Raw genomic sequence first — 15,969 nt, 5'->3', positions numbered from 1 at the left:
TCTGGCAGCCTGCTTTTATTCTTTTATCTGGCCCCACCCACATCCTGCTGATTGGTAGAGCCCAGTGGCATGTTTTGACAGGGTGCTGATTGGTGCGTTTACAATCCCTGAGCTAGATACAAAGGTTCTCCACGTCCCCATCAGATTAGTTAGATAGAGTTTCCACACACAGGTTCTCCAAGGCCCCACCAGAGCAGCTAGATACAGAGTGTCGATTGGTGCACTCACAAATCTTGAGCTAAACACAGGGTGCTGATTGGTGTATTTACAATCCGTGAGCTAGACATAAAGACTCTCCATGTCCCCACCAGACTCAGGAGCCCAGCTGGCTTCACCTAGTGGATCCCACACCGGGGCTGCAGGTGGAGCCGCCCGCCAGTCCCGTGCCGTGCGCTCGCACTCCTCAGCCCTTGGGTGGTCGATGGGACTGGGCGCCGTGGAGCAGGGGGTGGTGCTCGTCCGGGAGGCTCGGGCCCGCACAGGAGCTCATGGAGTGGGTGGGAGGCTCAGGCATGGCGGGCTGCAGGTCCCGAGCCCTGCCCCGCGGGAAGGCAGCTAATGCTTGGTGAGAAATTGAGCGCAGCGCTGGTGGGCTGGCACTGCTGGGGGACCCAGCACACCCTCCGCAGCCACTGGCCCGGGTGTTAAGTCCCTCATTGCCCGGGGCCGGCAGGGCTGGCCGGCTGCTCCGAGTGCGGGGGCCCACCAAGCCCACGCCCACCCGGAACTCCAGCTGGCCCGCAAGCGCTGCAGGCAGCCCCGGTTCTCGCTCGCGCCTCTCCCTCCACACCTCCCCGCAAGCTGAGAGAGTGGGCTCCAGCCTTGGCCAGCCCAGAAATGGGCTCCCTCAGTGCAGTGGTGGGCTGAAGGGCTCCTCAAATGCCACCAAAGTGGGAGCCCAGGCAGAGGAGGCGCCAAGAGCAAGCGAGGGCTCCGAGGACTGCCAGCACGCTGTCACCTCTCAGTATGACCTAATGCTCTAAGGTAAGAACTGGTTGCCTTCAGCCTGTTCAATTACTACAGGCTATGTAACCTTTCGGCCTTCCAAAAAGGTTTGGGACTTTTCCCTATAACTTTTCTTAATATTTCCCTTTAGTATTTCTGCCAACATCCTGAGTGAATCCCAACAGCTTACAATGTTGAGGATTTCTGCTTTGAAACTCTCTACCTCTTTTGTTCCATGAAACCATTATCTCTCTATTTTTACCAGTTACTTTGACTGTTCCTTAGCAATTTGTTTAAGAACCTCTAAACTCTAGATGATCATGAAGCTGTTTAAAATCTGTATCCACACCTCTATGTGAACTCGTCCAAACCCATTTCTTCAAAGGCGAGTCATATACTCCTCATTCTCTGTATTCCACCTTGCTGAGGTACAGACCTAAATTTTGGCAGTGTATATGGAAGTATCCACTACTATCCACTATTCCCCCTTAGTTAACACATTCTTCAGGTTAAATCTGCTTTTCCACCTACACTTCTTTCCTAAATTAAAGACATTGCGGCCCTAGGGATAGGTTAAAACCTGGGCATTGTCCTAAAAATCACATTTTCATTTGCTCATCGCAGCCAGCCTGTCTCCCAGTTCTCTACATTCTACCAGCTAAATAGTATGACATCACCCTCTTTTTTAAAACTCCCAATGTTTTAGTTAGACCCTATTTTTTTTACCAAAACTATTGCATTTTAATACGTTCCTAACTCTTTTGCTCTCTCCAATCACCTCCCTCACAAATAGTGACTCAGCTGTTTGTATTTCCCTACATATGCCATCTTTTTTACAATTCAATAGCAAGTCGAGAAATAGGGTGATGGATAATAAAGATATATGACTGGAGTTACATGAATTCGAGGATGAATCCTGGCTCTCCATGTTATCTTTAATTGGGGCAAGGTTATTTCTCTGTGCTTCAGTTTCCTAATTTGTAAAGTGGGCATACGTATCTAATGAGGTTCTGATGTGTTATAAACAAAGAGTTTGGTACACACTGTTCATTAAGTTGATTTTTATCTGGGCCCTCCAACGACCTCTTATCAGCCACTCTTTTACTCATTTAATTATGAATTCATGAGTACCTACTATGTGTCAGACTTCACTAAAAATGGGAGGTCTAAATATTTCTATATTTCCTTTGATTGTCTTTCTACTTTTGACACATCTGATTCAAATGTTTTTGCCATGTTATCTGTCTGAAAGCCTGTATTTGAAGACTCACTGAGGAATGTCGCATACATTTTCTTCCTCCCAAACTTAAGAAAAGTTATTCAGATTAGCTTTAGTGCAGCTTGTATACATATTTATTATGATATTCATTACTTAATTTCAATTTATTTATTTCTTCTTATTATTAGATAATGAACTTTTGGAGTACAGAGCCCATATCTCATCATTTCTTTAGCTACCTACCAAAAATAGCACATAATAAACAATTTAAAAAGAAAATATTCTCTCAGATATTTTAATTCATATACTTACATTTCTGTAAACATATTTTAGTAAGCTGTCTACTAAAGCCATTTAAAAATATTGATAAAAAACTAAAAAAAGTTCTTAAAATTTATTTTAGCGGAAAAGGGATTTCCATGAAAAAATTAAATTGCAACATAGTAGTCATTGTGTATTTGACTAATTAATAGTTCAGATAATAAATTCCATAAGAGTTCAGGGTAGAGAAGCATCAGTGTGGGTTACTTCATTTAAGTGAAATTTCCATGGCGAGTTTAACTTTAATGAGAGGAGAGAAAAGTCAAGGGCTTTCCAGGTGGTAGGAATGAAGTAAGTCATGGAGCAGAGGCAGGAATCTGTGGCATATTTTATGGGGAAAATATTAGATCAATTTTTGAAAGTAAAGAATTCACTTACAGAAGTAGTGAGTGGTCAATTTGGAGATATACAGACTGGCTTATGAGGGGTTTGAAGGCCAGTACTTCAGTGCGGCTGTATGATTTAGGTAGCAGAGTCATGAGACTTCATTCAGGAGGTGGAAGGAGGTACACAGCATTGTGTTACAACAGTTAGTTGGCCTGTGAGTTAGTTAAGGATTTACCTTATAGGTTTCTACATATCTGGAGAAATCAGTCAAAAGCCTATTGTGATCGTCTTACTATAAAATAATGAGGACGCAATGTAGATTTTTTGCATAGTCTTTAGTCTTCTTGTGAATTTAATTTCTTATTCATGCCAAAGTGACTGCAGTATCTTCAGGTAAAATATAAGAAGTTTCTTTGAAATGCATATACTTTCCATAATTATATTCTATTTATTTCCAAAAGATACCTGAAATGTAGTGAATTAAATTCATATAAATTCTAGAGAATTTACATAATAATTGTTTTCTATAAATAATATTTGTATTTATCATTCATTAAATATTTAAATTATTATTATACTGTAGAAGAGAGAAAATGAATGGAATAATTTCTGCTTTTGCAATGTTTACAATCTATCAGCAAGGCAGTCAAATTTATCACTATAATATCAAAAGTAATGAGTGGAGAATATTTTAAGGGTTTATTGAAAACAAGTCTCATGGGAGTATAATTTTGGAAGAAATAATCGAGGTAAGTGCTTCTGAAAAGATTTCATGTAGGCTTTGTTCTGAAGTAGGTATAAGATTTTGAGTCATACAGATGGCACCGAGGGTAAGAGTGTCAAATAAATAGAGACAGAAGAAACATATGCATGTTGGGAAATGGGCAGGGAGTCCACTGTGGTCCAAATAAAGGATGAAAGGAGAAGTGTCCTGATAAGCAAGAAGGTATAGCTGACTATGGTCAAGTCAGTGGGGCATGTGTGTGTGTGTGTGTATGTGAATTTGTATGTGTGCTTGAGGAGCCAGAATTTAAGTATTTTTATTGAATTTCAATGTTATTTTGGAGGGAATAGGGACTCATGCAGGTAGAAGAAGAACAAAACAAGAGACTACTAGTGATGTGCCAGGACCAGATCACAAGCATAGCGAGGAGTTTGGACTCTGATGTTCATCAAGATTTTTTTTTTTTTTTTGCTTGACCAAACTTTAATCAGAACTTTGAAAATCCTCTGTGCATTTCCTTGTAAAATTCAGTTTTATTAAGAACCTTGCTAGATCAGTTGAGCAAGAATTTCTACCTTTGATATATGATCATCCTTGGTATTGGATGTGGTTTTTCATTCTCCACCATCCCCCAGGTAATATCCGATCACTCTAGCCTGTCTTCAGCTGGAATCCTCCTAGGTCAGTTTAGCCAGAATACCCCTGACCTCTGATATTTCCTCTTAGTAATTTTCTATCCACTGAACTTCACCCTGTCCTTGGCTATAAATGACCACTTAGTCATGCTGTATCCTCATTGCCCATACTTAGTGAAACCCAGTCTCTCTTCCCCACTGCAAAATCCCATTGCAGTGGTCTCTATACTTACCACTCTGAACTGAATAGTCTTTCTTACTGGGCTTTCACAAGAATCATTGTTATCACAGTGAATACCTATTTTCTTTTTTCCTTTTGACTTTTTTTTTTTTTTTTTTTTGAGATAGGGTATCACTCTGTCACCCAGGCTGGAGTACAGTGGCCTAAACATGGCTCACTGCAGCCTCAATTGCCTGGGCTAAAGTGATCCTCCTACCTCAACCTCTTACATAACTGGGACCACAGGTGCACACAACTATGCTCAGTCAGCTTTTTTATTTTTTGTATAAATGGGGTCTCATTGCATTGCACAGGCTGTTCTAGAATTCCTGGGCTCAAGTGGTCCTTCTGCCTTACCCTCCCGAAGTGCTGGGATTACAGGCATGAGACACCAAACCTGGCCATTTTTATTTTTTTTTTAACAATGTAAGCATCAGGAAGTCACTGGAGATTTTTGAACAGAAGGATGACACAGCGTATCGGATATTCGTTTTAGGGAAATAGCTATGACAGAAAAATGTAAGATAGTTTACAAATGGAAGATAGAGAAAAGACTAGGTGGCCACTTACATTTGCGTAATAATTTGAATGAGACGTGAAAGAGGTGTAAGGCTCTGTGTCCCACTGAACACAACGTAAGGATGCATACAAAAATATGAACTGGATTCTAATAAGTAAATTCTGGTCATACAATTCAAAATCAAATACTGTCTTTTTTTAAATCAATCAATGTAACAGCACAATATTTTTTCAGGTACTGGACAGAAATTTAATATTAAACATACAGCCATTATTAAAAAGTTTAGATATTCTTCACTTTGTCAATGAGAAAATCTTTAGAAACAATTTCTGTAAAATATGTCTGTTTAAAAACTATATTTACTAACAAATGAAGTAAAAGTTTTAATTTCTAATGTTTATAAATCATAACTTTAGAAATACTGAAAATTTTATAACAATTGAACAATTTGTCCTTGTAGGTCAAATTCTTTCATTGATTCTTCCAGTGAACAATTTGTCCCTGCAGGTCAAATTCGTCAATTGAGATCAAGCCCTGCAGGTCAAATTCAAATTGTATTTATTTATTTATTTTAAAATAGTTATCAACAAGAAATTTAATCATTTTATTATTTATTACAAAGAAAATGTTCTAATTTTTAAAAAAATTTGTATTATACAAATGCATAACAGATTTTTCAGCAGCAACATTGCATGAAAGTTAACAATAAAATACATTTTTTGCCCCTGGTTTGGTTATTTCAGCACCTCACCAACATAATGCAAGACAGAGTTTCTATGTAACATCGTGCTCACCATATTTGGCACGCTGGCATTCCCTTTTAGGCTTGTTACCCTCATGACACCAAAATGGCTGCTGCAGCTTTGGGCTTTACCTGCATTTGGAAATCTTTTGTTTGTTTGTTGTTTTTTTACTTTAAGTTATGAGATACATGTGCAGAATGTGCAGGTTTGTTTCATAGGTATAAATGTGCCATGGTGGTTTGCTGCACCCATCGACCCATCACCTGAGGTTCTCTCTCTCTTTCTTTCTTTCTCTCTCTCTCTCTTTCTTTTTTCTTCCTTCCTTCCTTTCTTTCTTTCTTTCTTTCTTTCTTTCTTTCTTTCTTTCTTTCTTTCTTTCTTTCTTTCTTTCTTTCCTTCTTTCTTTCTCTTTCTTTCTTCCTTTTTCTTTCCTTCCTTCCTTCCTTCTTTCTTTCTTTTCTTTCTTTCTTTCCTTCCTTCCTTCTTTCTTTCCTTTCTTTCTCCTCCTTCCTTCCTTCCTTCCTTCCTTCCTTCCTTCCTTCCTTCCTTCTTTCTTTCTTTCTTTCTTTCTTTCTTTCTTTCTTTCTTTCTTTCTTTCTTTCTTTTCTTTCTTTTCTTTCTTTTCTTTCTTTCCTTCTTTCCTTCTTTCCTCTTTCGATGGAGTCTCGCTCTGTCACCCAGGCTGTAGTACAGTGCTGCAATCTGGGCTCACTGCAACCTCTTCCTCCCAGGTTCAAACAATTTTTATGCCTCAGCCTCCTGAGTAGCTGGGATTATAGGCATTTGCTTCCACACCCAGCTATTTTTTAATTTTTTTTATTTTTAGTAGAGACGGGGTTTCACTGTGTTGGCCAGGTTGGTCTCAAACTCCTGACCTTATGATCCTCCTGCCTCAGCCTTCCAAAGTGCTAGGATTACAGGTGTGAACCACCACACCCATCCAGTTTTAAGCTCCTCATGCATTAGCTATTTATCTTGATGCTCTCCCACCCCTTGCCCCCCAACCCTGCCACTGACAGGCACCAGTGTGTGTGTTGTTTCCCTCCCTGTGTTCATGTGTTCTCATTGTTCAGCTCCCAGTTATGAGTGAGAAAATGCGGTGTTTGGTTTTCTGTTCCTGTGTTAGTTTGCTGAGGATGATGGTTTCCAGCTTCATCCATATACCTGCAAAGGACATGATCTCATTCCTTTGTATGGCTGCGTAGTATTCCATGGTGTATATGTACCACATTTTCTTTATCCAGTCCATCATTTATGGCCATTTGGGTTGGTTCCATGTCTTTGATAATGTGAATAGTTCTGCAATAAACATATGTGTGCATGTATCTTTATAATGGAATGATATATGTTCATTTGGGTATACACCCAGTAATGGGATTGCTGGGTCAAATGGTATTTCTGGTTTTAGATCCTTTAAGAATCTCCACATGATCTTCTGCAATGGTTGAACTAATTTACATCCCAACCAACAGTATAAAAGCATTCCTATTTCTCCTCAGCCTTGCCAGCATCTCTTGTTTCATAACTTTTTAATAATCACCATTCTGATTGGCATGAGGTGGTATCTCATCGTGGTTTTTATTTGCATTTCTCTAATGATCAGTGATGTTGAGCTTTTTTTTAATGTTTGTTGGCTGCATATATGTCTTCTTTTGCGAAGTGTCTGTTCATATCCATTGCCCACTTTTTGATTTTTTTTTTCTTGTAAATTTGTTTAAGTTCCTTGTAAATTCTGGATATTAGGCCTTTGTCAGATGGGTAGATTCCAAAAATTTTCTCTCACTCTCTAGGTTGCATTTTCACTTTGATGATAGTTTCTTTTGCTGTGCAGAAGCTCTTGAGTTTAATTAAATCCCATTTGTCAATTTTAGCTTTTGTTGCAATTGCTTTTGGTGTTTCAGTCATGAAGTCTTTGCCCATGCCTGTGTCCTGAATGGTATTGCCTAGGTTTTCTTCTAGGGTTTTTTATGGTTTTAGGTCTGATGTTTAAGTCTCTAATCCATCTTGAGTAATTTTTGTATACGGTGTAAGGAAGGGATCTAGTTTCAGCTTTCTACATATGGCTAGCCAGTTTTTCCAGCACCATTTATTAAATATGGAATCCTTTCCCCATTGCCTGTTTTTGTCATGTTTGTTGAAGATGAGATGGTTGTAGATGTATGGTCTTATTTCTGAGTTCTCTGTTCTGTTCCATTGTCTATGTGTCTGTTTTGGTACCAGTACCATGCTGTTTTTGTTACTGTAGCCTTGTGGTATAGTTTGAAGTCTGGTAGCATGATGCATCCATCTTTCCTCCTTTTGCTTAGGATTGTCTTGGCTATACAAGGTCGTTTTTGGTTCCATATGAATTTTAAAATAGTTTTATCTAATTTCATGAAGAATATCAATGGTAGTTTGATGGGAATAGCATTGAATCTATAAACTACTTTGGGCAGTATGGCCATTTTCATGATATTGATTCTTTCTATCCATGAGGGTGAAATGTTTTTCCATTTGTTTGTATCCTCTCTTATAGTCTTGAGCAGTAGATTTTAGTTCTCCTTGAAAAGGTCCTACATGTCCCTTGTTAGCTGTATGCCTAGATATTTTATTCTCTTTGTAACAATTGTGAATGGGTGTTCACTCATGATTTGGCTCTCTGCTTGTCTATTGTTGGTGTATAGGGATGTTTGTGATTTTTGCACATTAATTTTGTATCCTGAGACTGCTGAAGTTGCTTATCTGCTTAAGGAGTCTTTGGGCTGAAATTATTGGGTTTTCTAAATATAGAATCATGTCTTCTACAAACAAAGATAATTTGATTTCCTCTTTTCCTTTTTCAATACCCATTATTTCTTTCACTTGTCTGATTGCCCTGGCCAGAACTTCCAATACTGTGTTGAATAGGAGTGGTGAGAGGGGGATCCTCATCTTGTGCCAGTTTTCAAAGGGAATGCTTCCAGCTTTTGCTCATTCAGGATTATATTGGCTGTGGCTTTGTCATAAATAGATCTCATTATTTTCAGATATGTTCCATCAATACCTAGTTTATTGTGAGTTTTTATCATGAAGGGATATTGAATTTATCAAAGGCCTTTTCAGTATCTATTGAGATAATGAAGCGGTTTTTGTCATTGGTTCTGTTTATGTGATGGATTACATTTATTGATTTGCATATGCTGAACAAGCCTTGCATCTTGGGAATGAAGCCAAATTGATAGTGGTGGATAAGTTGTTTGATGTACTGCTGGATTCGGTTTGCCAGTATTTTATTGAGGATTTTCACATTGATGTTCATCAGGGATATTGGCCTGAAGTTTCCTTTTTTTTGTTGTGTCTCTGCCAGGTTTTGGTATCAGGATGATCCTGGCCAGAAATATGGAACGCTTCATGAATTTGCGTGTCATCCTTACACAGAGGCCATGCTAATCTTCTCTGTATCGTTCCAATTTTATATATGTACTACTAAAGTGAGCACTCAAATTTTAATTTTTTAGTGGTTTTATTTTTTATAAAAAATTTATTTTACTTCTCCCAATGAATAGGTGTTCATTTCAAGATACACTGCAGTCCATTATTGTCGACACTTCAACCTTACTAGCCATTGCCTTCTTCAAGTGGCATAATTTGTTATACCGTAAGTGCAAGGTCACTTATGTTCAGACAATTGTAGATATGTTTCCATATATCGATTCATGTAACTGTTAAATTAAGTTTAGCCTAAAGCAACCTCCTTGTAAGTTCAGCTTAAAAGTTCCTACATACATAGTGAACTGTAACTTGAAGTGGATGTTTAAACAGACTGTAACCTATTCTTGTACAAATCACCAAGTTTCAGCCAAAAGTGATGAACTGTTACAACAGTGTTAGCATAAGACAAATGCCAGGCTGTAACCAATCTAACTGTTTCTGTTCCTCACTTCCATTATCTGTAAGGGGAGTGTGGTGGTGGTGCTCAATTCATGAATTGTTCTTTGCTCAGTTAAACTCTGTTAAGTTTAATCTGTCCAAAGGTTTTCTTTAACATAACACATTCCCAAAAAGGAAAAATTATATGTCTAGATTCATATTTTGAATTTACAAACAATAATTTTACTCATTAACCCCACTGAAATTTATTTTTGTTTCTATTATCATTTCTGGTATGTCAGACTCATATTTTGCTGAACGTATGTGGTATGATCAATCTGAAAATAATACTTTCGATTCCCTTTGACTTCATATGTCAGAGGCGTTTGAACCAGAGGAACTCCATCTTGAATAGGAGCTGGGTAAAATACGCCTGAAATCTACTGGGCTTCATTCTCAGATGGTTAGACATTCTAAGTCACAGGATGAGATTGGAGATTGGCACAAGATACAGGTCATAAAGACCTTGCTGATAAAACAGGATGCAGTAAAGAAGCTGGCTAAAACCCCCCAAAACCAAGATGGCCACAAGAGTGATCTCTGGTCATTCTCACTGCTTCCACCATCACAAATGCTATGGCAGCATCAAGAAGTTACCCTATATGGTCTAAAAAGGGGAGGTGTGAATAATACATCCCTTGTTTAGCATATAGTCAACAATTAACCATAAAATAAGCAACCAGCAGCCCTTGGTGCCGTTCTGTGGAGTAGCCATTCTTTTATTTTTTTACTTTCTTAATAAACTTGCTTTCACTTTACTCTATGGACTTGCCCTGGATTCTTTCTTGTGTGACATCCAAGAACCCTCTCTTGAGGTCTGGATCAGGACCGCTTTCCTGTAACACATATATCAGAACAATTTCCTGTTACCTAAGTTTCAACTTTTGGTTGTAGTATATTTGAGTACAAATATCCAGGGACAAATTCTCAATTGAATATATCTGAGAGACAAATTGTCCAATGATCGAATATTTTAAAGCTCTTAGAAGGTGAAGTATCACTGTAGTTCAAACACATATGAAGTCTTAGTATTTCTTTTAAGGATATGTTCTTCTAGTCTAACTTCAGTTGGTGATATATTGTTTATATTTCAACTGTAAAATATGAGAATTATATTTTTATTATAGAAATTTCAATAATTTTACATTCTGAGTGTATTCAAATGTTAAAAGAATTAAATTAGAACTATGTCCAATAAAAGTGGAGATAATTTTATAAATAATATATTCTATTATTTATAAGTGAGAATGGACTATACAGACAGTGGGACTCCAAACACATCAATCAAAATATGACTGTTGGAGACCAGAATATGCCACCCTAAAAAGTGCTTCTTAGGCATATTGATTATTTTGAGCTGGTTACTCTGAGAAACAGACACAGAAGTCACTCTGAAAATTTGTCTTTCTGTAAGAGAAATTTACATCAAAAAAGATAATTTCTGTTTGTAGGGGTGTCTTCCTCTCTGCACCAGGAATTGAGAAATGACTGAATGAAGAAGGCATGGAATTAAATCTGCATAACAAACCATGCCTTTGTTAAAGGGGATTTTCCTCATCATTTCATCTTAACCAGGTCTTTCCCCGCACACTTTTTTCTTTTAGGTAATGATGATATTTAAGTCTAAAGTTTAAAAGTATTCTTTGAGATATACTTTATAAAATTACTCACCTTCTGGTGTCTCCCATGTATATATTAACTATAAATGTTAATAAATGTTATTTGTTTTTCTCCTGTTAATTTGTGTTTTTTCACAGAAAACCCAGTAAAAAACTATGAAGGGTACAGAAAAAAAAAATGTTTTCCCCTATACAGATAGGGGTTGCAATATCCCTTAGCTAACTGCTACTGTTAGTGATGAGAATATTTGGGCTATGTGTCTAAATAACATACCCAGGCCACTTGTTTAACTGATGCCCCAGAACCAGGACTAGATCCTCAGACTTAACTCTTATTCTATTTTTCTTTCACTACATCATTGAGCTCTCTTATGTTTTAAAGTACCGTAATGCCAACTATCGTTTAGTTGGTATTAGTTTAGTATCTTTGCTTTGATTTACAGAATTAGTAAAGTTTAAAACAATGCTTTTTTTCCAGTTTTTCTCATTAGAAATACTATGATGATACTGTTTGTTTTATAAGAGTGCAGTCTTAGTCTTAATTTTATTATTAAGATAACATTTTAATTAGAAAAGTTTATCAAATCTTAATCTAAAAGAGTAAAAAAGTTTACATAAAAAACACAGCTTTAATTTTTTTTTTTATTTCAGTAAATCAAATTGTTATAGTAGGTAGCTGGTCAGAATGAGCAGGGCAAGAAAGGGCTCCCCAACTCCACATGCACCAGGCATGTCAGGCCACCAGGCAGTTGTTAACTGTCTCTCTACAATAATAATTGATCACAGCCAGCACCAGGGAAAGGCAGTCTCCCAGTGACGGAAAACACCTGAAACTGGTGATGAGCAGCTTCCTGATAAGATCTCTGGATTTGGGCAAGCGGGCTCAAGCATGCACATTAAAATGCAAAATGGCAGATTTCTACTTGCATATGACCTCCTAGGGATATTTGACTGATGAGGAAGAATGCCTCAAGTAAGCATACGTACAACTCCAGTAAACACACTGTGGGTGCTCCCTTTCCAAGTGCTCATAGGACACTGTGCATGGGTGCAGCCCACCCTAAGGGAAGAATCAGTGGACAAGGGATGCAAGACCTTGAAGTATATGCCAACATATAAAATCCTAAGTCAAAGGGCAAATCGTGCACTTGTCTTTCAACTCAGCTGCTTAGCCTTCTTCCAAGTGTACTTTGCTTCCTTTTGTTCCTGCTCTAAAGCTTTTTAATAAACTTTCACTTTTGCTCTAAATCTGGCCTTGGTCTCTCCTCTGCCTTATGCCCCTCAGTCAAATTCTTTCTTCTGAGGAGAGAAGAACTGAGGTTCCTTCAGACCCATATGGATTTGCCACCAGTAACATACTTCGGTGCTGTGTGAGTTGGATAAATTCTGCTGCTAACAAAATGTTGTCAGATGATACTCAAAAATCTTTTCCTTGTCTTCAATTAGTTAGTTATCTGGTTTTAACTGCCTTAGAAGAGATTTCAGAGATTTTAGTTTTCTTAACATTAAAAATAATTTCAGTTGAGAGGCCATTAGGCTGAGACAGCTCCCATGTCTTGAATTCCTACATAAATAAGCTGAAGCCCAATGTGAAGATTGAAATGAAACGTAAGATATACCTGTCAGAAACTGACAATTGTCCTCTAACTAAGGACTTTCCACAGGATTATACCTAAAATAAACAAATGCCTGGCTATAGCCAATCAAGTAATTTCTTTACCTCATGTCTACATTCAGCTTATAAAATGTCACTCGTTCATGCTGCTAAAGTGGAGCTCTCTTAACCTCTTCTGGTCCTGAGTGCTGCCTGATCCATAAATTGTTCTTTGCTCAAGTAAATCCTGTTAAATTAATATGTCTAACTTTTTTTTAACTTGAGTATTTGTTTCTTCTTATAAATAAATGAGTTTTAAAAATATATTTTAATAATATGCTTTGCAACCAGTGCTTATGATGTTTCCATATTTAAAATACTTAGAATGTAAAGAACAAAAAATTCCCATACATTTTATCCTTATTCAAGGAACCTTCAGTAATATACCACAAAAAATAGCAGTGACATGTGTATAGGGACTTATAGGCCTAGACTTTTCCAGGAGTACCGTAAGAATAACTCCTATTTTTTATTGTTTGATTTTAGCTGTTGATCATTTTTTAAAATAATATGCATTGACTGAATAACTCTGAGTTAGATATGCTGACTGAATTTCCACTAAAATATTTGTACAAATTTGATGAATTAGATAACTAACAGGTAGCTGCTTCTATGTCTTCTCTGAGTTTTAAAGATGTTAAATACATTGTGAATTTAAAGTTTCCAGAGGAATATGGTAAAATTTAAAATCTCAAAATTAGTTTGAAAGCTAATATCCTTGTCCTGAACAGCTTGTGTTTAAAACTGTATTCTGATTTTTCAATACCTTTTAAACTGATTTTAGAGTTCATAAGTCATTTTTGTATTTTTTGTTTTGGAACTTTTCTGTCCTCATCATTAATGATATTCTCTTTTATCTGTCTCATCCTACTTTCCTACTGGGAGATTTTTGTTTTTAAACAAAGTTTTTATGGTGGTTGGGGTGGTCCCTTTCCATCTTCTCCTGACTCCAACCCCTACAATTTTCTTTGGAAAACAGTATAACCAGTAAATTCCTTATTTATTTATTTATTTATTTATTTATTTATTTATTTATTTATTGAGGTGGAGTTTTGCTCTTGTCACGCAGGCTGGAGTGCAATGGTATGATCTCGGCTCACTGCAACCTCCGCCTCCCAGGTTCAAGCAATTCTTCTGCCTCAGCCTCCTGAGTAGCTGTGATTACAGGTGCCCTCCACCATTCCGGGCTAATTTTTGTATTTTTAGTGGAGATGGGGTTTCACCACATTGGCCAGGCTGGTCTCAAACTCCTGACCTCAGGTGATCCACCAGCTACAGCCTCCCAAAGTGCTGGGATTACAAGCCCAATTCATTTTATATCTTTTTTTTTTTCTGCTTTTTTTTTGACGGAGTCTCGCTCTGTTGCCCGGGCTGGAGTGCAGTGGTGTGATCTTGGCTCACTGCAACCTCTGCCTCCCGGGCTCACGCTATTCTCCTGCCTCAGCCTCCCAAGTAGCTGGGACTACAGGCGCCTGCCACTATGCCTGGCTAATTTTTTTTTTTTGTACTTTTTTAGTAGAAACGGGGTTTCACCATGTTAGCCAGGATGGCCTCCATCTCCTGACCTCATGATCTGCCCGCCGGGGCCTCCCAAAGTGCTGGGATTACAGGCATGAGCCACTGCGCCCAGCCTGTTTTATATCTTGAAAGTCTTACCTAATATAAAGAGAGAGAAGCAAATTGGTCACTACTATTAAATTGTTATTAACAGGATCTCAAGAATGTTATTTCATATTTTTAATACTATTAACAGAAGAGCTCAGTTTCAACAGTTTTTGAATTAAGCAATGCAATAGATCAAGGGCATCTCCAACACTAGGTTGAGGCTCTGGGTAGGGTCTGAGTAATTTCTGGAGAAAGAAACATGCCAGCTCCATTCACTAACCTGAGGTTGTTGGTCCAGGGGCCACATAACCAGCTCATCTGAACCAGTATCACTCCATATAATGAGACAAATAAGTAGGAAATGACAAAATATGACAAAATATTTTTAAATTCTGGAAGCTTAAACTGTGTATACACACACACACACACATATACACACACACATAGTTATATTTCACATATATTTCATTATATTTATATATTCCATTGTGTGTGTATATATTTATATAATGGTAATTATTTGAGTATAATTACCTACTTTACTGTTTAACAATATCTTTTCTACTTCCTAGATCAGAAGGTGTATTGGTTCTCTAAGGCTGCCGTGACAAAATACAACAGTATGATTGGCTTAAGCAATATATATTTAAGTATATATTAAGTATATATTATGTATATATACTTAATGACTGGAGGCTAGAAGTCCAAGATCAAGGCAGTTTTATTCTGATGCCTCTCTTCTGGGCTTCCAGATGTCTGTCTTTTTGATATGTTCACACATGGTCTTCCCTCTGTGTGTGTGCATCCTAGATGACTCTTTGTATGCCCAAATTTCCTCTTATAAAGGGCACCAGTCAGATTGGATGAGCATCCCTAAATGGCCTCATTTTAACTTAATCGCCCCGTGAAAGGCCTTCTCACTAAATACAGTCATACTGTGAGGTACCTGGAAATAAACCTGAAATGTAAGAATTTCTGGGGTAATTCACAAAGCATTGAGCCTGAAGTCAGAATGTCTGAATAAAATAGCTTCATTGCATGTATTATGCAACTCAACTGGCCCCTGGTTCCTAATCTATTATACGGAAATAATAATATCTACCTTAAGGTAATTATTATATGATTTTATATATATATATATATATATATATATATATATATAAAATGTCTACCAAACTACCTTCTCTGTATTGGTAATACATTTAGTGAATGTGCATATTATATCATAATCAATGTCTATTTTTTTCACATTCTAAGTTTAAGGAAATAATTTGATAGAAAATGAAAAATTTAAATTAAATATCTTCACTTTGCGTTTGCAAGCAACACATTTTTTGTGAAGAATATATTTGAGCATAATATATTAAATGTGTCCTAAAATTATTATAGCATTTTTAAACCGCTCCAATTTAAACACTCCAGTTTTATTTAGCCCTCCATAAAGCTTTTGTTCATGCATCATTGATTTATGGACAGTTGTCACAAACAGGATAGGCCCATATGTTAAAAGCACTTGCCATTTTTTTGTGACTGCCCTCAATCAGATTTA

At 37.3% G+C, this 15,969-nt stretch overlaps 1 pseudogene, besides 1 other annotated feature; it reads right to left on the bottom strand.

Annotated features, from left to right (window-relative positions):
- Positions 659-1,218: an enhancer, noted in NCBI's record as "H3K4me1 hESC enhancer chr5:27119569-27120128 (GRCh37/hg19 assembly coordinates)". NCBI's record gives its function as "activates a minimal SCP1, AML or CMV promoter by ChIP-STARR-seq in primed H9 embryonic stem cells {active_cell/tissue: H9 hESC(primed)}" and the evidence as "EXISTENCE:reporter gene assay evidence [ECO:0000049][PMID:30033119]".
- Positions 9,008-9,111, bottom strand: RNU6-738P (RNA, U6 small nuclear 738, pseudogene; annotated as a pseudogene).

This window comes from Homo sapiens, chromosome 5 (genome assembly GCF_000001405.40).
Source record: "Homo sapiens chromosome 5, GRCh38.p14 Primary Assembly".
In the NCBI taxonomy this organism is placed as follows: Eukaryota; Metazoa; Chordata; class Mammalia; order Primates; family Hominidae; genus Homo; species Homo sapiens.
The sequence above is the reverse complement of the archived record's forward strand: the minus strand, read 5'-3'. Positions and strand labels throughout refer to the sequence as shown.